The 19,376-nt window shown below is 36.5% G+C and overlaps 1 protein-coding gene and 1 long non-coding RNA gene across 4 annotated transcripts in view, besides 6 other annotated features; one reads left to right on the top strand and one right to left on the bottom strand.

Moving 5' to 3' along the window:
* MANEA (mannosidase endo-alpha) overlaps positions 1-1,657 on the bottom strand; it is a 31,918-nt gene extending 30,261 nt beyond the window's left edge. Inside the window, exon 1 of one of the 2 annotated variants that reach the window (NM_024641.4) lies at positions 1,554-1,657. The gene's annotated coding sequence lies outside the window, so the exon portion shown is untranslated. Of the gene's footprint in view, positions 1-880; positions 970-1,553 lie in introns of those variants that run through there. The other variant, XM_005267147.4, reaches the window with a different exon arrangement.
* Positions 621-1,561: an enhancer, noted in NCBI's record as "H3K27ac hESC enhancer chr6:96025507-96026447 (GRCh37/hg19 assembly coordinates)". NCBI's record gives its function as "activates a minimal SCP1, AML or CMV promoter by ChIP-STARR-seq in naive and primed H9 embryonic stem cells {active_cell/tissue: H9 hESC(naive and primed)}" and the evidence as "EXISTENCE:reporter gene assay evidence [ECO:0000049][PMID:30033119]".
* Positions 1,058-1,157: an enhancer, noted in NCBI's record as "active region_24839". NCBI's record gives its function as "activates an Ori minimal core promoter by ATAC-STARR-seq in GM12878 lymphoblastoid cells {active_cell/tissue: GM12878}" and the evidence as "EXISTENCE:reporter gene assay evidence [ECO:0000049][PMID:35858748]".
* Positions 1,358-1,417: a silencer, noted in NCBI's record as "silent region_17406". NCBI's record gives its function as "represses an Ori minimal core promoter by ATAC-STARR-seq in GM12878 lymphoblastoid cells {active_cell/tissue: GM12878}" and the evidence as "EXISTENCE:reporter gene assay evidence [ECO:0000049][PMID:35858748]".
* Positions 1,698-1,787: a silencer, noted in NCBI's record as "silent region_17405". NCBI's record gives its function as "represses an Ori minimal core promoter by ATAC-STARR-seq in GM12878 lymphoblastoid cells {active_cell/tissue: GM12878}" and the evidence as "EXISTENCE:reporter gene assay evidence [ECO:0000049][PMID:35858748]".
* On the top strand, positions 1,741-19,096 carry MANEA-DT (MANEA divergent transcript). Of its 2 annotated transcripts, NR_104136.1 has the most exons (3): positions 1,741-2,099; positions 11,879-11,964; positions 19,047-19,096. It is a non-coding gene; the product is annotated as an MANEA divergent transcript (long non-coding RNA). The 2 variants fall into 2 exon arrangements; NR_047502.1 differs by lacking the exons at positions 11,879-11,964; positions 19,047-19,096 and having other exon boundaries at positions 1,741-4,020.
* Positions 1,838-1,917: a silencer, noted in NCBI's record as "silent region_17404". NCBI's record gives its function as "represses an Ori minimal core promoter by ATAC-STARR-seq in GM12878 lymphoblastoid cells {active_cell/tissue: GM12878}" and the evidence as "EXISTENCE:reporter gene assay evidence [ECO:0000049][PMID:35858748]".
* Positions 16,405-16,699: a silencer, noted in NCBI's record as "tiled region #13210; HepG2 Repressive non-DNase unmatched - State 24:Quies, and K562 Repressive DNase matched - State 9:DNaseU". NCBI's record gives its function as "represses a minimal TATA promoter and a strong SV40 promoter by Sharpr-MPRA in HepG2 and K562 cells {active_cell/tissue: HepG2 | K562}" and the evidence as "EXISTENCE:reporter gene assay evidence [ECO:0000049][PMID:27701403]".
* Positions 19,097-19,376: the final 280 nt, after the last annotated feature.

Below are 19,376 nucleotides of genomic sequence, written 5' to 3'. Positions count from 1 at the left end.
CATGTTGGTTGGCCAGGATGGTCTCGATCTCTTGACCTCATGATCCACCCACTTCGGCCTCCCAAAGTGCTGGGATTACAGGCGTGAGGCACCGCGCCAGGCCGCAGAATTTTTTTTAACCTCATTTTACAAATGATGAAGCTGAGCAGTTGGTAACTTTTTCAAAAATCTCTGGGCCAGCAAATGGCCAAGAAACCAATCTAAGGTTAATCACCTAGCAAGGAGCAGATCGAGTCTGGCTCAAGAACTCAAGTTCTTGTCCATGCTATTCTGCCTTCCTTTAAGGTATTAGACAAATCAAATTTAGAGGATACACCAGTTATTTTTGTGACACAAGATGAAAGCTGCTGCTATATGGTTATGTTTTCAATTAAGGATTATGTACCTAATAAACAATGATTAACTGTTACCTACTCCATAAACTGTGCCCAAACTTCATCTAAAGACAGCTTATTCTATTTTATGATCATACATTCACTATTCGTCACACGAATAACAGCAACAGCTCTGGAAATGGTGTTTTCATTGTTGTGATTTTTTGTTTTGGGGGGTGTTTTTCTGCATTGAGCCTGAAAATCCACAAATTCACAGCACTCATGTTTTTTTCAGGTGTGATACACCTGAAATAGATGTATTGTCATGAAAGTGATTTGCAAACAACGTGATACAGTATCACCAATATCTAGGTTTTACTTTATATTTTTGTTTCAAACTACTGCCTCAATACTTTAACGTGAACAGCCTATTCCAGTCCCATTTTTCTTATTTTCAAGTTCTTAATCAACATTATCCCCCCCTTGTTGTTGTTTTATAGCACTTCCACATTTTCTCCTAACACTTATCCGTAGGGTCTTACAACAACAAAACCAAACAGTTATACCTGCCTGTACTTCAAGTTGCTTCTTTGGAAAAAGGAACAACAAAAACACTAATCCAGCACTGTTGCATCCCGACTTAGCAAAGGCTAAGAGTCTAAGATGACAGTGCCAAACACGTTAACAGGTGAACTGAAAAACCATCTCTAGCGGCCTCGCCATCGGGCGGTCTCCTCCCGATGCCCAGAGGCGACAGCTACCTTTCCGTTGCACCCAGAGCCCAGCAGGCCTCGATCCTTCTACTCTCCCGGTCGGCTCAAGGCCCAGAGGCAGTCTGGGGGCACAAGGAGAAGGTGCTGAAAAAGGCTTCCATCCGACCCGAAATTTCCACCTTGTCGGGGAGACAAGGAAAATCCGAGGCGACAGGAGGTACCGTTTCAAAGAGGAGGCGGCGACGAGGCCAGTGAGGTGGGGATAAAGCAGTGTAAAAGGCAGTAAAACTAACGCAGACTAAAACAGGCCTAAGAGTGACAGCCTAGGTTAATCGAGGGGGCTACAGGCTCGCCGCTGGGCGCCACCAGCGCCTGCCAGAGGGGCGCCGGGTCAAAGGGCGCCCGGAGGAAAGCGGCCACCAGATTGGCTGGCGGGCGAGCGCGCAGGCGCCCGCGGTGGACCTCGTGCCTGCCGCCGCTGCTGGCGCCGCCGCCTCCAAGAGGTCTGACTCCTGCAGCTACTCACCAGGGTCGGGTAATTCACTTCTTGCAAGGACTCGGCCAGAGGAGAGGTTAAGACCGCGAACATAGAGCTGACTGCCGCCGCGCCCCGAGCCCAGACAGCCCCTCCTCCCCGAAGGCGCGCGCACAGCGTTCCGGGCGCTTTCAGGGGCGGGACGGGTGGGGGCGGGGTCACGGAGCGGGCGGGGCTCGGGGTCTTCCGGAGCCTCCGGTCGCGGGTCTAAGAGGACTAGGGCGGGAGCGGCGCGGAAGAAAGAGAGGACTGCGTTTTGGGGCGTTCTGTCAGAGGGGAAGGACGTGTGGATTGGAGTCAGACTGCACTCCCGCCCTATTTCTGCAAGTAGAACTCACTGCCTTTAGAAACGGTCTTCTGAGGCTCTGTTGGGAGGCTCTAACTGTATTACAGAGGACACATTTTTGTTTGTTTTTATGTGAAACATTCAGAAGTTGCTTGCATCAAGTGCTTTACAAGTACACTGGTTTTCAAACTTTTAAAGTTGAGGAACTGTTTTGATTTTTGTAAAAATAGAACTTTACTTGGAAGCCCAAGGTAGGCAGATGGAGATGGCGTTTTTAATTTGCGAATGTATTCTATAAAATCACATCTGTACTGAAGTACTAGAAATAATTGAGGATAAGTCAGATGTGAAGAGCAAGAACTTTTGAAATAGGATTACAACTGAAGGTTTCCATCTTACATTAGCTTCAGAAAACAAGAAAATGCTATCTTTTGTTTGGTTACATAGTAACAGGAAGTCCTTATTCAAGCTAGAACTTGCTGATGTGAACAGTTTCATAAGGGCTCTCCTTAAAAAGATTTTGTACACCAATTTTAATTGGGAAATATACATATGAGTATATCTCATGTGCATATCTTAAAGAAGAATGAAAAATGCCCAGGTACCCACTACAGAGCTTAAGAAAAAAAAAATGCCAGTATTTTTGGAGTCTTCTAGAAAGAAGACTCTCTAAAAACATCTCCTTCCTTCCGTTCACCATTATGCTGAATTTTATATTACTCATTCCGTTGTATTTCTGAAAATAGTTACATATGTACGATTCCCTAAAAATACTATTTTCCTAGTTTTATATTTCATATGTGAATCATTCTTCATTTTTCCCCTTTTTTCACTAATTTAGGTTTTGAGAGGTTTTGAGATTCGTCTGTATACAAGTCCATTTCCCATAAACTAGACTGGCACATCGTTACCCTTATGCTATTGTTAGACTTTTTAAGTTTTTGCTGATAAGAGCATCTGATTGCTCTTTTAATTTGCATTTTCCCTTTTGCTAAAGCCTGTTCTTAATTTTATCTCATTTTTTATTAAATTGCTTGCTTTTGAAAATTATTTTGTAGATAATATTTATTTTTTCTAGTTTAATTCTCTCTTGTAAGTTACATGTGTTGCAAATGTCTTCTCTTAGTTTATGGACTGTCTTTCCAGTTTTTATGATGTTTCTTGATTGCCAAAAGCTTTATGCTTCAGTATACAGCTTTTTGAATTTAATAATATTTTACATTTTAATTTTGTGCTTTTTGCTTTCTTGCTTACAAGATTCTTCCCAACATAACATCAGAAACTATTCTTTCTTCTACAAGTTTAAAAGTTTAATTGTAGCAACTTTAAACACAGAAAGGACAAATAATAATATAATGAACACCCATGCACTCAACTCTATGTATTAAAACATTTTGCAAACCCCTCCTCCTAATGATTCTTGTCTAAAATTGCCTTAACTATACTTGGCTCTTTACTCTTTCATTGAAATTTTAGGATGAGCCAGCCAAGATCCATTTAAAAAATTGGATTTCAATTGGGCATTTTATTCAACTTGAGAATTGCATTTAGAGATTTAGTGAAATGTCTTCTTATCTATGAACATGGTATATTTATTTTATTCAGGTACTTTATGTGCTACTATGCTTTGTAATTTATTGAGTATCTTTCATTATATTGCCTCCTAGTTTTATTACTAAAATTAGAGATCTCTCTCTTTAAACTCTATTTTCTAATTGTTTAGTAACATTGTATTAAAAGAGCATCAATTTCAATATATTGGTACTATCTCCAGAAGCTTCGCTGAATTTTTTTGATTGCTTGCTTTATTTCCCTGTTACATCTTTGGATGACCTATATAGGTAATCATATCATTTGTAAATAAGAATAATGGTTTCCTTCTTTCTCTCTTTTCAAACCACTTATTATTCAGTTTTTTCTTTTATTTATTAACAGAGCATCCAGTGCAATGTTTAATGGAAGTAATAATGGCATTCTTGTCCCATTCCTCACTTTACTGCAATACTGCTAACATTTTATAATGATAACAATGTTTGCTGTGGGTTTTTGGTAAATACTTTATCAAGATTATTAAGTGTTCTGTTTCCAGTTCATAATGTATTGTTGTTTGCTTTTTTTTAACCATGAGTGACAGTTTAATTGATTAAATGCTTTTTCTGCACCTATTGAGATAATCATTGTTTCCTATTCTAATATATTTATGGGAATGATTAATACATTTTCTGATGTCAAATGAGAGGGAGAGGATTTTATTTTATAAATATGTTAATGCATGCTCACTTGCTTAAAAACTGGGTACTTTATGACTGCCAGTGTAAATAAATTAGGCAAGTAGATTCTCATTGCATCACACTCTATTCATTGCACAATGGTGTTTATAAACTGGATTAGAATTGCTGCTAGTGCCTCATCTTGTAACTCTGACTGCTCTACCTATCCCCTGCTATTGTCAGGGAATGTTGAGATGGCAATGATAGAAATAATGTTGTTAATATTCTTTTTTTCTTTCACATCACTTTTTTTCACAGTGTTTTTATGTAGAATTTTTTTTTTTTACTTGACATCACTGGAAAGTCAGCAATGTTTTGTTGTAATTATCACATATAGAATGTTATTACATTCTGAATCTTGATTTTGTTTTCAAATATGGGATGGCCATAATAACTGCCACATCCAATTTTTTTATCTCTCATATATACATATAGATTTAATTAGTTCAATAATTTCCTGAATGTAAACAATGTAGAATTTAGTAAATTAATAAGCACTGATGGGAAAGGTCTCCAAGATAAATGAGCAAGTGATTAGTATGTTAATACTTACAAGAGAAATTCACATTATATTAATATAAATTTTAAATATATATGTGCATGTATGATATATAAAAATATCTGAAAGGATATATGCATTGTTACCTATAGGGATGTAACAGAAGGGGAATGAAGGAGAATTTTCTTTTTTACTCTCTGTAGTGCTGTTTTCTTTTTTAATGTGAGCCCATATTTATGTATTTTTTAATTAAAAATACAGCACCAGAAGAATATGCCATTTATCTAATAGATGGTTTCTTGGAAAGAAAAAGAGCTGCATATAAATTCATTTGTGTAGTAAATAGACATTTTAAATGTGTTGCATCAGGGGTAATCAGTCACTGAGAGTCCAAAGACAAAAATGATCCAAAGAAGGAAGAATGGAGAAAAAAAAAATCCCCCATTTTTTTTTCTTTTTTGTCAAATTCTTGTATGGAAAGATTCTAACACAATAAACTAATAGTAGCCTTTGGTTTATCCTAATTAGCATTTATTAAAATCATAGTCCCCACCCCACAAGATCCTTCAGGTTAATCCTATCTTGCTACTAGAAAAGCGGCAGCCATTTATCTTATCTTTTGGCATCAGCATTGAAGAGTCTTCTTTGTATTTCCCAGACCTAAGCAGTTACACCTTCAACCATCTTTTTCTTGCCTCTATTTCAATGGGCCCTATTGTTTGTCTCCTGATTATTTCATGTCTATTTTTCCCTGTCCTAGAAGTTTCATTAGTATTTCCTAGCCATATGCCATTTATACCTTTGCTCATTACTCCTGTCACTGAAGATGAGAAATCAATTTCTGTCCATATCCTCTCCACTTACATTAATCAGAGATATATTTTGTAAGCAATAGAAATTGAATCTGGCAAACCTGAAAACAAATAGACTATGTAAAAAGTTACAGAATTTAGCATGAAGATGAAGGCTAGTACATTAGGTAATGGCAATGGATAGGAAACAAGAGGGGCTAGGAAATTGGGAACACAGCCTCATATAACAGTACAGATTAGGGCACTGCTGCTTTCAGGGCTGCACTGATCTCAAAGCTGCTGACACCACTATGAGTGACTTCTCAACTCTGTGTTGTCTACCTCGTTGCTTCAAGATTCAAATTTTGGATTGAGATCATTTGATTAGCTTACTCTAGGCTGTATGTCTTTTCCTCCTTAGCCTCCTTGAAGTAGAGCCCAGAACTTTTGGCTTTAATGGGAAATTGGGCACAAAACACAGAATACATTATTCTTCCAAAACCTGAAGGATTTTTAGATTCTAAGTAGTAACAAAATAAAATAAACTAAATCCCCAAACAATAGTCCAATTATCCATCACAGTATGCTTCACTGTCCATATAAAGTCTACTTTCTCCCTTACTATTTTATACTTACTGTTTTATTCTTTTAATCCCTATACATTTATAGGGAGTAATATGAAACAGCAATAATTTCTTAATTAACTAAATTGTTCTGTTCTTTTTATCATATCTGGTATCTGTGAAGGTGTAACTAAGGTATTCCTTGACACAGTTTGGGATGCAAAGAATGTAACTCCAATAGTGCCATGAGTAAAACACTAAAGTTTCCACCAATTTATAGCAGTAGATAATTCAGAGAGCCAAACTCATTGTTTCCCCTAATGCTCTGATCCTTTCACTGTACCTACCAGCATCCTGACAGCAAGGAATCCATTCTAACTCTATCCCACATAAATTCACGAACTATTATCAGACCAAGGAAAAAACTTGCCTTGGTAGGTCATGATTAAAATTCACTGGCCTCGTAGTGGTCACAGGTTTTAGGGTGACTTCTTGATGCATTAGATAAGGCTCTTCTAAGAATTGATGTACATAACCCAGAATTAAACTCAGTGTAGGTAACTTCTAACTAAACAGGCCAAGCCCCTTTGGTGAAAGTTTTTCTCATTCTCTGATCCAAGTACTTGCCCAGGTGATGGCCCTCCTGAGTGACAGAGATGGGAGAGCGTTCTGCCTTCCCAAATAAAGAAGGCAGAAAGTTCACCTCTGGTTGAATGGTGCTGTTAAATGCTAATGCATTGATTGACTATATATGGAACATTTCTCCTTAAGGAAACCCTATCCTGAAGGAAACCCTATTCTGCAAACAGGCATGGTGGCAGCTAAGGGAGATGCATGTCTTTAGTGGAAACCAGAGCCAGCAGGGAGATGTAGCACTTCCTGAGTTCGGAAATGACTCCACCAGTTGATATAGGGCCTCTCAGTGTGTTGAAGGAAGGAAGTCCTATGTTTTATGATTGAGCATTAGTGTCATACTACAATCAGCCACTCCCCAAATGTTGCATCACTGAAACTCCAGGTTTCACAGAGAATTTCCTAAGGTATTAGGTTTGAGTTTCTTCCTTCGTGGGATGCTATGGATTCTTTAACCAAACCAACCTAATCTTTCTCCTGCCATAGTACCACCTTCTCCTGCCATGCAAAAAGAAGCAGTTTGCAAAAGTCAGTAAAAGAAAAAAAAAATGCCTTGTTATTTCTCAAAATGATGGGCTCACTTGTCTTCTATTTATATAAGAGAGACCACAGTAATTATTCTCAACAGTATCAGCTACAAGGTGATTTTCTGTGCCTGCGTATTCTAAGAAGTAGCTGGCAATTTCTCTTGTTAAAAGAGAAAAAGAAAAAAACATGCACTTACTCGCTGATAAACATTTTTCTGTTAGAGAACCCAATTAAATAGCAGGCCTGTGTTGTGTACGTCTTTTATACACCCTGTAATGCCAGGTTCCATGAAGGCAGTTCCAGAGATAGTCTAATTCAGAGCTGGGGCTCCAACTCCCAACACATAGTAGGTGCTTGTAGTAGGATGATAATAATTCCCAAAGATACAGAGGTCCTAATCCTCTGAACCAGTGAGTAATAATTCAAATGGCAAAAGGGACTTTGCAGGTGTGAGGAAGGATCTTGAGATGAGAGTTGTCTTGATGGACCCTAAATATAGTCACACATGTCTTTATAACAGGGAGGCAAAGGGAGATTTGACAAAGAAGGCGGCAATGGGACTACTGAAACAAAATGCTAGGCTGCTGGCTTTGAAGATCAGACTAGGGACCAAAAGTAAAGGAACGCAAGCATTTCATTCAAGCTCTAAAAGCCAGAAAAGGCAAGAAAAACCTTCAGAAGGGAGAGTGACCATAATAATACCTCAATTTCAGCCCAGTGAAACTGACTTCAGACTTCTGACCTCCTGAACTGCAGGAGAATAAATGTATGCTTTTTAAGCTACCAAGTTTCTGGTAATTTGTTCTAGCAGCCACAGGAAACTAATACAGTTTTCAACAAATATGTGTTGAATAAATAAATCAATGAACAGTAGGGATTCAATAAATATTACATTAATTATAAGATGCCCAGATTGTTTCTTTGAATGTGAGAGAAACATCATTCTTTAAATGTATCTGCAAAGTAAAAGCTAATTGCATTAATATAAACTGAGTTGTTATTTACCAATTTTTATTCTGGCTGTTTTTGTTTTGGTTTGTTGAGATGGGCAAATATGTTAGCTTCATAATAATTGGTTTTATTTGATTATGCTTTTATTCACAATGTTGAGGGGTGCCTACTTTCAGAAAACATATATTCATCACAAATCTCTACCTCCTAGGAGTTTGCCGTCTACCAAGAAACACAGAGATATACAGTGTGTGGTTTATATTGATTATCTGCTTACCACTGTTTGGATTACTTTAATTATTTTTGTATATGTCTATATCTCAAAAGAGTTTGTGCCCCTGCAAGGCAGTCTTTTCTGCATTCATCTATTTACAGCATCTATCACAATGCTTTCCACATAGCAAGACTTCAGAAATATTTAGTTGAATGTATCTAGTGGCCAGAAATTCATGCTTTATTGACTGAATAAGGAATGAAGGAAACACAGTGTAAGAGTATGTGTGTGGGAGTGTGTGTGTGTGTGTGTGTTTATACATATGTATGATAATTTGGTGGTAACATTTTGTTGTTCTTCTTTCAAAATAAATTCCCTGAGTGTGATGTCTACTCATCTGTTAAAATAAAAATATGCAACAATAAAAGCAAAGCTTATCAAGTTACCATTTATAATTTTACAGCAAATATTTATATATATAAATATGTATATAATATAAATTATTTTTATATAAATATATGTATTCATATAATCTATATGTATTTATATATAATTTTATATGTATTCTATATATGTGCTATCTGTAGTATTTTATGATTCATAGAAAAAGATAATGTGCTCCCAAAAATACGTGCTAAAAATACATAATACAAATTTCATACATACATACATACATTTGCACTGCTTTTGTGGGTATGGAATTTGTTATGAGATACAGTGTATCTTTATTCCACAACATTGACTTTTTTTACAATTTGTATAACTTGATCATGAAAAGTATAGGAATAAAGATCAAAAGAATGTGAAAATACTGAGTATAAAATATTTTTCAAGTGAATATCAATGATATTTCATTAAAACACAAGATAAGGAAATTTTATTCTGGGTTTATTTACCAAGGAACAAAATATTTTGGCTTCTCTTAATTTTTTCCCCTTCAATTGTGATTTCCTTCTGCATATGTTCAAGCTCCCCGGATAACTCATCTTCCTTGTTGTTCCTGTGGCATTTTTGCATCTAGACGTGAGATTTATTTTCCCTCAAGCTCTTACTGTGGGCAGCTCAGTGGTATTCCCTATATTCTAATATGTAGCTCCAAAACACTTACTGCCCGGCGGTACCTGGCTTAGGCTACTTATTAACTTCCTGTCTAATTTCCACAGTCTTACGTCTGCTGGAACATTGTTGGATTTTGGCAACTCATAGAATTTTAGACTATTAAGAGACATTAAGTTTGAGCTGGACACTGTTTATTTTACTTAGTAGAACAATCTCTTCTACAACATTCCAAACAGGTGGTAGCCATACATTGAACAGCCAAGAATAGGTGACTGATTCTCACAAAGTCAGGACAAATTGCTGCAAAGTTTTTATCAAAATAATTCTAAATGAATTTCCTTATTTCTTCCATACAGGTTTCCTAGCTCTCTTTATTGAGCTTTACAAAATACCGTAATACCTCTTCTACAACAAAAATAAATAAATGAATATGTTTCTAACTTTCTTTCAGAACATTTTGACCCCTTTAAAACTTCTCTGCAACTTTGCAAAACATCTTGATAATATCTTTAAGTGTGACAGCCAGAATAGAATAAAGAAACGAGTTGCTGGTACAGAATACAATCTATTTTAGAAAATATTGTCAGTGCAACCTGGTATGCCCAGTCAGGAGGAAAGAAAAGGCACTGATTCTTCATATCAACCCTACTGTAAATTTTACGGGGAAAATTTCTGATGAACACAATTCTGGGTGAACTAACTAATGTGGCTACACAGCCTCTCTCCCACACAAAGAAATGCTAAATCAGGTGTAATTTTAAAATATTTGGTTTTACTATGTAGCCTGAGAGGGAGAGAGAGAAAAAATGAGAGAGAAAAAAATTCTAAGTGTCAAGAACAAGTAGAAAATTTGAAGCCAGTGACTTGGTGGAGAAGATTAGTCGTGGATGAAAGACTCTTTCCTAACTTCTGAAACTGTAATATTCAGCCAAGGAAATGAGACAACTTATTCTTGCATCATAAGGATTTTTTAAAAACTGGACCGAATTACAAAGAGAACTTGCAAAGTTAATAATCATATTGAGATTGGTAACATGCTTCTACCAGAAATAATAGGTAAAGTATAAAACTATTAGAATATAGATTATTTCAACGAAGCACTTAAGGGAATTTATTTATTGTACTTACATATCATCTTGTACCTGAAAAAATAATTCACTTTATTTTAAGAAAACATTAGTATGTACAAAACTTTAGCACATTCTAGGCCACTAAAGATTGTTTCAGGAAATACCAAATAACAACATATAAACTGTATTCTTTGACAAATATTTAATGAAATTAAAAAACAATAACAAAACAGTAGCCATTCATCAGGTATAGGAATGAAATGACACAGACCAATGATTCATGGATTAAAAAAGAACTAAAAGTAGAGATTATATTTAGAAAAGAATTATTTTAAAAGGGCTTCATGTTAAAATATGAGCATTAATGTAAACCCAAAAAGTCAAAAAAAGGGAGAAATAGTGATAACAGGAGAAAGTAATAAAATAGAAAATAAAGATACCAGAGTCTTTAAAAAAATAAACTATTAAAAATAAATAGGCCTCCAACAGAAATGAGGGGGAGGGCAAAAAGAGAAAAGGAACAAATAATATCAGGAATGGAAAAGGAGTAATAAAAGTACTGTAAGCTTTTAAAAAGTCATCAGAGAATGCTAAGAATAAATGCCAGAACATTTGAAAACTTAGATGTTAATTTTTTAAAAATGTATAAATGATGAAAGCACACTCAAGAATAGGAAAACTGGCCATGCACGGTGGCTCACACCTCCCAGCACTTTGGGAGGCCTAGGCGGGTGAATCACGAGGTCAGGAGTTAGAGACCAGCCTGGCCAAGATGGTGAAACCCCATCTCTACTAAAAATAGAAAAAATTAGCTGGGCATGGTGGCGGGCACCTGTTAATCCCAGCTACCTGGGATGCTGAGGCAGGAGAATCACTTGAACTGGGGAGGCGGAGGTTGCAGTGAGCCGAGATGGCACCACTGCACTCCAGCCTGGGTGATAGTGCAAGACTCCGTCTCAAAAAAAAAAAAAAAAAAAAAAAAAGGGGGAACCTGAACAGACCAATAAAAATATATAAATTAAAGAATGGGTCATTAATCAAACATGTACTCACACTAACCAAAATAGTCATCATAATAGTATCAGCTGCAGAGGCAATAGTGTGAATGATAATATCAAGAACCCATTAGGCATACAAAGTTTTACAAGAGGTAACTAAAAAATATTCAGGGAAACAAAATAACTTTGTATCTCAGGCAAATAGGGCTAAATTTTACCTGAGTGGTGGGTATATGCATTTTATAGTTTTAGCAAATTAAAAATATTTTGTAGTTTAAAAACTAAAGGAAGATCTAGGAGGAATTTGGGAACACTTGATAAGCAAGAATAATTTTAAGTATATTCTCCATGAAAGACTTTTCTAAGACTTGATTGGAGACTTAGCTTATCTCAGTGCATATTAGCTATTAGGTGTTCATAAATTATCCCAAGACACCTTTCTGTTTTCATTTAGGTCGCTTAGAAACTAGTACTCTCAGAACATGGAGTGGAAGAGGTGATCATGGTAGCAACAGACTGAGGAGTGAATTTGAACTTGAGGTAAGTGTAGGTAACTTTATCTACCGTGGTGCAGGAAGTGTCCATTTGAACGTGTAGAGTTAGCTGCCTAGTCAGTTGAGTTTAAGCACAAATCTTTGAGACCTAGGAGTATGGACCTTTTTATTAAAAATTGTCCTTAAATATTTTCTGAATTAGTAACTTTTATATTGCCAATTCATCTTAGTAAGAAAATCTACTAGGGCAAGAGGACAGTCTTATAAAATCCTGTGTAGATCTCTAATGTCTCATTAGAATACATGGGAGAGTCATAAAAAGAAGAAATAAAGGTACTCAATATCTATAAAAGTAGTTTTGAGTCCTGAAAGGACAAAGGCCATGGCATTAAGATGACTGATAATATCCAGTTGTAGCCAGGATGTGGAATATGTATACTCTCACATTTTATTGGTGGGAATACTAATTGGTAGAACCTTCTTGAAGGGAAATTTGGCTGCACTACTCTTTGAGTGAGCTATTCTATATTTAGCTATTTTTCCTACAAAATTATACCCATAATGAGAAAAAACTGCACACAGTGATCTCTCTTTGTAAATGACATGAAAAGATGTCCATATATAGTTTTTAAGAAGAATGAATTTGCAAAATTATGTAGATAGCTATGTAAAGATATATCTGTATCAATTTTATATGGTTGGCATAATAAATTACCACAAGTTAAGTGGCTTAAGCAATGCAAATTTATTATCTCACAGTTCTGTAGGTCAGAAGTCAGACATGGGTCTCTCTATGCTAAAATCAAGGTGTCATCAGGGTTGCCTTGCTTACTGGAGGTTCTTGGGGAGATTGTTTCCTTGCTTGTTCAATTATTTTTTTTGGCAGATTTCAGTTGTATAACTGAGGTATATGTTTTCTTGCTGGCTATATATTGAAGGCAGTTTCCAGTTCCTAGGGGCCTCCATGTTATCTGGCTCATGGCTCTATGCCTCCATTGTCAAAGCCAGCAATGTCAGATCCAATTCTTCTCATATCACATTTATCCGACCCACTCATCTGCTTTCCTCTTTCACATTTAAGGATATCAGATTATATTGTGTCCAACTGAATAATCCAGGATAACCAACCCATCTCAAAATCTTTAACCTCAACCACATGTGCAAAGCTCCCTTGTCATGTAAAGTAACATAGTCACAGGTTTTGGGCAATAGGATGTGTACATATTTGGGGGCCCATTATTCCACCTACCCCAGTATCTGTAAGTACGTTTAATATAAATTATATTATGTAAATATATAGGCATATACAAATATGTATACATACAGGAATGAGGAGAGAGAGAGAGAGAACATCAACAACAAAAAACAAATGTATATGTGTCTAAATTTTTAGAAATAAACATACCAAACACTTTAACAGTGTTTTTCATAGAAAGTGGGTTTCAGTTTTTATATATACTTTTAAGAATGGTTTGTATTTGTACGACAAGCACACATTAATATTGCACTTTAAAAGGTAAAAAAAAAATTAATTGATCAATTAGGCTCAAGCACTTGATCAAATTCAGTTGCTATATTTCCTAGTATAAACACCTAGGGAAAGAAACAATCTCTAAGTAAAATATGTGTTCCATGAATTATTCATCAAAATAAATGGCAGACTTCACTGTAGGTGTTATGCTCTAAATTGAAGAAATTAACCTTTAAAGTATTGATTGGCTGAATTGCTGCATGTCTAAATAGAGTGGCAATTCTCAGTACATAATAATCATAACAGTACTACTACTAACTCCTGCAATCATAGTAAAAATATAAAAATAGTTTCTTTTATATTTTATCACTCTCAAAACATTTTCAATTACATTACTCTTATAAATTCTGAAAACAATCTTTAATATTAAGTAGGCAGCATAGAAAATTATCACATTTTGGAAGGAAAAATATTCAGAGGACCTAGATAAGACTTGCTCAAGGTCCAATAGGCCAAAATTGTGCAGAACCAAAATATGTACTTAGATTATCTGTTTTAGGATATATGTACAATATAAAAATATAAGACTTCTTCCCTCATGAAGTTAACAGTCTATGAAGGGGGATAAGACATGCATGTAGATGGCTTCACTCAAAGCAAAAAGTCATGAGTGTTATTTAAAAGGGTTCCAATGAAGTGTTGTAAGAGTTCAGAGAAAAGTTATTTGGAGGGGGCGGTTACTCACACAAGTACTATTTATACTGGGTATTAAATAATAACTAATTATGGAATATTTTCTATAAACAAGAATGGAGTAGTAGTGTGAAAGTATCAAAGCAGGATTGAACAAGAGTGGCTCTTTTGGAGGTAATGGCAAGGAGAAGCCAGAGAGAACCAAGAGTTATTGTGCAATTAGAATGAGCAGCAGAAGACAAATGAGAGAAAAGAATCAAAGGTGACTCTATATTGTTCATTCTAGATATATAGGCTAATGGAGTTGCTGGCAAGGCATGGGAAACATTTTCTCACCTTCTCTGACTTCTCAAACCTACTGTACAATTGTTACTGCCCCCAGCACTCCTCAGGAATTGCTTTTCACAAAGTCTCCAGTGATTTCCTTGCACTAAATATATTTTCAGTCTATACCATACTTGATATCTTGGCTATATTCAGCTCTATACTCAGCTCCATCCATCTTGAACATTTTCTCCCTCTAGTTTCCTTGACCTCACATTCTCCAATTTGACATTAGGCATCCATGTAAAGCGCTTACTGCACTCAATCCTCTGTGCACACCCACATGTTCTAAACATATTATATTGGGTCCTAATATTATTTCTCTTACTTTTCTTAAACTCCACAATTCCCCTGTAGACTTCTCTTTCTTGGTCTAGATCTTAAATAGACTCTCTTCTGTCTAGGCGCTCTCTCATATGACACATACTCACTGTTGGAAGTCTCTTTTCATTTTCATGCCTTCAATAACCACTTTGTGCTCTTCTGGTCCATATCTCAGTGGAAAGTATCCTTATACATCTTATAGATCAAGACATCATTATAGATCTTATAGATCAAGCCATAATTTTTGGCCTCTTTTTTCCCCTCAGAGAAAATACAAATCTTTCAAAATATATTTAACTTTTCTCTATTTCTTTCCCTATTTAACTTTTCTCTATTTCTAATATCACCACTCCAATGAAATGTTTTATTATCTTTCATTTAAGATCTCTCATTCTGATTGATCTTTCACCTGCCTTTGGCCTTTCAATACGACCTCCACACTGCAGTCAGAATGATCTTTCTAAAAATCAAATTGATCATGTGATTCCTGTCCTTATAACCTTCCAGTACTTTCTCTGTCTCTCAGGATAAAGTCCAAATTCTATAACACAACATATAGAACCCTTATGGATTTGGCTGGTGAGCCCTTTCACTCTCAAAACTCACTACTCCATACTCCCTTCACTTTAGCTGTCATGAACAATTTTCTGTTTCTAGACTTATTTGTGTGCCATGTTTGTTCTTACACCCACACTACTGTTCTCTCCTTCTCCCCTTTACATGGCTAATTACCATTCAAGCTTTAGTGCTCAACTTAGACATTACTCCTTTTAAGAAATTTTTCTGACACCCAAGTTAAGACTAGGTTCCCCATTTTGTTCTTTCATCCTGTCCCAAACTCATTATATCTTGGCCTTATCATGTTGCATGGTATTTGTCTGCTTACTTATATGCATGTGTGTCTCTTAATTGTGTGCAAACTTCTGCGGGAGAATCACCTTATCTACCTCTTTCACTGATTACCCCCAGCAAAAGGACCTGATACAAAGGAGGTATTTGATAAATACAACAATGAATAAATGAACAAATGAACATCTGAATGAACAGGTAGAGACATTTGGGAAGGTAGAAGATGATGCTCTCAGTATTGGGCATATTGCTTTGACTAAAGGCATTACCAGAATATTCAAGCAGGAGCAGGAAATCATCTGCATGGGTAAACCAGAGCTTATGGGAAGTACAAAAGTAGAGAGTGAGATCTGAGAGCCATCCACAAAGTAGAGAGAATTGAAGCCATAAGACTAGATGAAATTGGATATAGAAAATATAGATGAAAAGAGAAGACAGGTAACGATGAAACATTTGGAAATACCTATATCAATTTTTAGCTGAAAGCACAGTACACCTGAAATCAAGTGAGTAAAAACTCCATTAACGATTCTAGGCCAAAAAAAAGGACTCCAGGCAGTTAAAAATTAATAAGAATTAATGTTTGAGAAGAAGAAGCTGTTGACAATGACTTCCAGACAAATAAATGTATTAAACACTGGTATACCTAAACACTTTGACTACCTAATGCTCTTAATTACCTGGTAATTAAAGGCTAAAATGTCTAAAGGAACATGAAAATAGTGAGCCTACATGGTGTAGGAGCCATGGCTAATCAGTCTACTTTGAACTTGAAGTAATTTACTTTAAAACAAATCAAGGAAGATGCATTGCTTCTTCCGAAGAGTAGTGTGACATTTCAGAAAGTAAATACAAGAAATTCTGGCACTTCATAATTTTCAGTAGGGAGGAATGAAGGCAATGGCAAACACAGCCTAGAGCAAGCCAGACCCTTACTTTCTCTGATAAGCAGCTTTTGGAATTATCTGCACTGGGAGATGTACAAGAAAGTAAGCTACTCAAAAAGGAAATCAGCATGTGGTAACTTTTCTCTGATCTACCGATTCTTCCTAAAGCTTGGGCACTAACCTTGAAAAGGCAATTGGATACCATGATATTCCTAGACTGAAGGCTGGGCCAAATGGAAAAGGAGATACAGAGAACTGGTCCCTAGTACAGTAACCTTATAAATGACAGAGAGGAAATCATACACAGATTAAATTGTTCCACTAAATCTGCTCATGCCATACCCTCCTTTTAATTCTTTTTAGAATGCTGGATTATTAAAACTTACACTAATTGCCTTTCCAGTTTAAAACGTTAGAGAGATGTTCCAAAAATATACTTGGCATATTGTATGTATATACATACATACGCATATGTGTGTGTGTGTGTGTGCGTGCAATGTGTAATGTGTAGTACACCTGAAATATATTTCAGGGGTGCAATGAAGACATCGAAAAGGTTTTCTCCCATGTGCTGTTTGGACAAATACCAGGCCATAAATGACCCCTCTTCATTCAAGAAGGAGAAACAAAGATAAAAATACAAAAAGGAATTGATTTTTCTAATAACAGTAGCAGAACAAAACTGTCTAAAGATTGTTCTCAAAAAATCTTCCTTGAGAAACAAAAATTTTTTAAACGTGCCTGTATTATACTGTCAAAAAAATTCACAAGGACTCTTACAGCAAAAATATAAGATGAAGTGATGAACAAAATACTGAGTTCAAATTCTACAAAACACTCTTTAATATTCCTTAATTTTATGGGATTTGGGCTGAAGATGCATATTATACGTGAGACTTCATTCCCCACCACCTGTCAAAGCAAGCGACTATGGACGTCAGACTGTATGAGTGGCTAGACAGGAAACTACCCATAGGAATATACTTTGTTATGCTTCTCTGGTCTGGTGGTGGGCTAACAGTAGGGGTTTTTATAAGATAAAGGGGCATGTAAAACTTGGATATAAGAGGGCACCACAATTGTTTAGACCAAAATCCGTAAATAAAGACCTACACGTAGAAAGGTAGAAGTAAAGATAAGGAGAAAAGAAAGAGAGATCAGACTGTTACTGTGTCTGTGTAGAAAGAAGTAGACATAAGAGACTCCATTTTGTTCTGTACTAAGAAAAATTCTTCTGCCTTGAGATGCTGTTAATCTGTAACCCTAGCCCCAACCCTGTGCTTGCAGAGACATGTGCTGTGTTCACTCCAGGTTTAATGGATTTAGGGCTATGCAGAATGTGCTTCGTTAAAAAAGTGCTTGAAGGCAGTATGCTTGTTAAAAGTCATCACCATTCTCTAATCTCAAGTATCCAGGGACACAATACACTGTGGAAGGCCACAGGGACCTCTGTCTAGGAAAACCAGGTATTGTCCAAGGTTTCTCCGCATGTGGTAGCCTGAGATATGGCCTCCTGGGAAGGGAAAGACCTGACTGTCCCCCAGCCCGACACCTGTAAAGTGTCTGTGCTGAGGAGGATTAGTGAAAGACAAAGGCCTCTTTGCAGTTGTGATAAGAGGAAGGCATCTGTCTCCTGCTTGTCCCTGGGCAATGGAATGTCTCAGTGTAAAACCCGATTATGTGTTGTATTTACTGAGATAGGAGAAAACCGCCTTAGGGCTGGAGGTAAGACTGCTAGCAGCAATACTGCTCTTTAATGCACCGAGATGTTTGTATACGTGCATATCAAGGCACATCACCTTTTCTTAACCTTGTTTATGACACAGAGACCTTTGTTTACATGTTTTCCTGCTGACCCTCTCCCCACTATTACCCTATTGTCTTGCCACATCCCCCTCTCCGAGATTGTAGAGATAATGATCAATAACTACTGAGGGAACTCAGAGACCAGTGCTGGTGCTGGTCCTCCGTATGCTGAGCGCCGGTCCCCTGGGCCCACTTTTCTTTCTCTATACTTTTTCTGTGTGTCTCTTTCTTTCCTCAGTCTCTCATCCCACCTGACGAGAAACGCCCACAGGTGTGGAGGGGCCACCCCTTCATACAAAGGAAATAGGCACTCATGCAACAAAGATAATACCAACATCGTGCTATTATTATTATTATTTTTGTCTCTTCAACAATGTGGCAAATTTTCCATAAAATGGAAGAACAATTTATATTACAAGTTCTTGCAACAGGTGGTGAATATAGCATCTGATGAAGTAATTTAAAAAATAACAATCCTGTTGCTTGATAGTCTGAAATAATAGGTCTTACTCTCCTTAGGCAGCTAAACAACTAAGCAGATAATAAAACGTTATACTCCTCCATCCCCTTCAACTTCATTCTACGTGAATGATAAAATGAAGCACAATAAATAGAAGACTTAGAAGAATTCTACGAAATTCTTGTATCACATAAGTTATTTTCTTTGCAAATTGCAAATGGTACCCTCTCTGGGCTGAAAAATAGTAGAAAAAAATCCTTTCCTTTAGACTAATCAAGACTTTTCACCTAACCTCACTCTCTTTCACCCTCCAGTTTTGTCTTGCTGTTTTTCATTGATGGAACCCAACTGGAAATCAGAATACAAGGGCACTCGATTAATTCAGTTCACAGAGGACTTCTTCCTGTGGCACGGAGCATGGTGGGGAAAGGTACAAAGTAGACCTCGAGAAACAAACAGCATGGTGACCAGTCACAAAATGTATACAGAAAATTAACAGATTTTTTTTCCTTGAAGAGATCAAATCTAAAAAACAGTATAAAAATAAGAATGTGCAGGATCTATATAAAGAAATCTATACTCTACCAAGGTACCTGAAAAAATACACAGATAAATGAAGGCTTATGGCTTGATTTTAGGTATAA

This window comes from Homo sapiens, chromosome 6 (assembly GCF_000001405.40).
Source record: "Homo sapiens chromosome 6, GRCh38.p14 Primary Assembly".
In the NCBI taxonomy this organism is placed as follows: domain Eukaryota; kingdom Metazoa; phylum Chordata; class Mammalia; order Primates; family Hominidae; genus Homo; species Homo sapiens.
The sequence above is the reverse complement of the archived record's forward strand: the minus strand, read 5'-3'. Positions and strand labels throughout refer to the sequence as shown.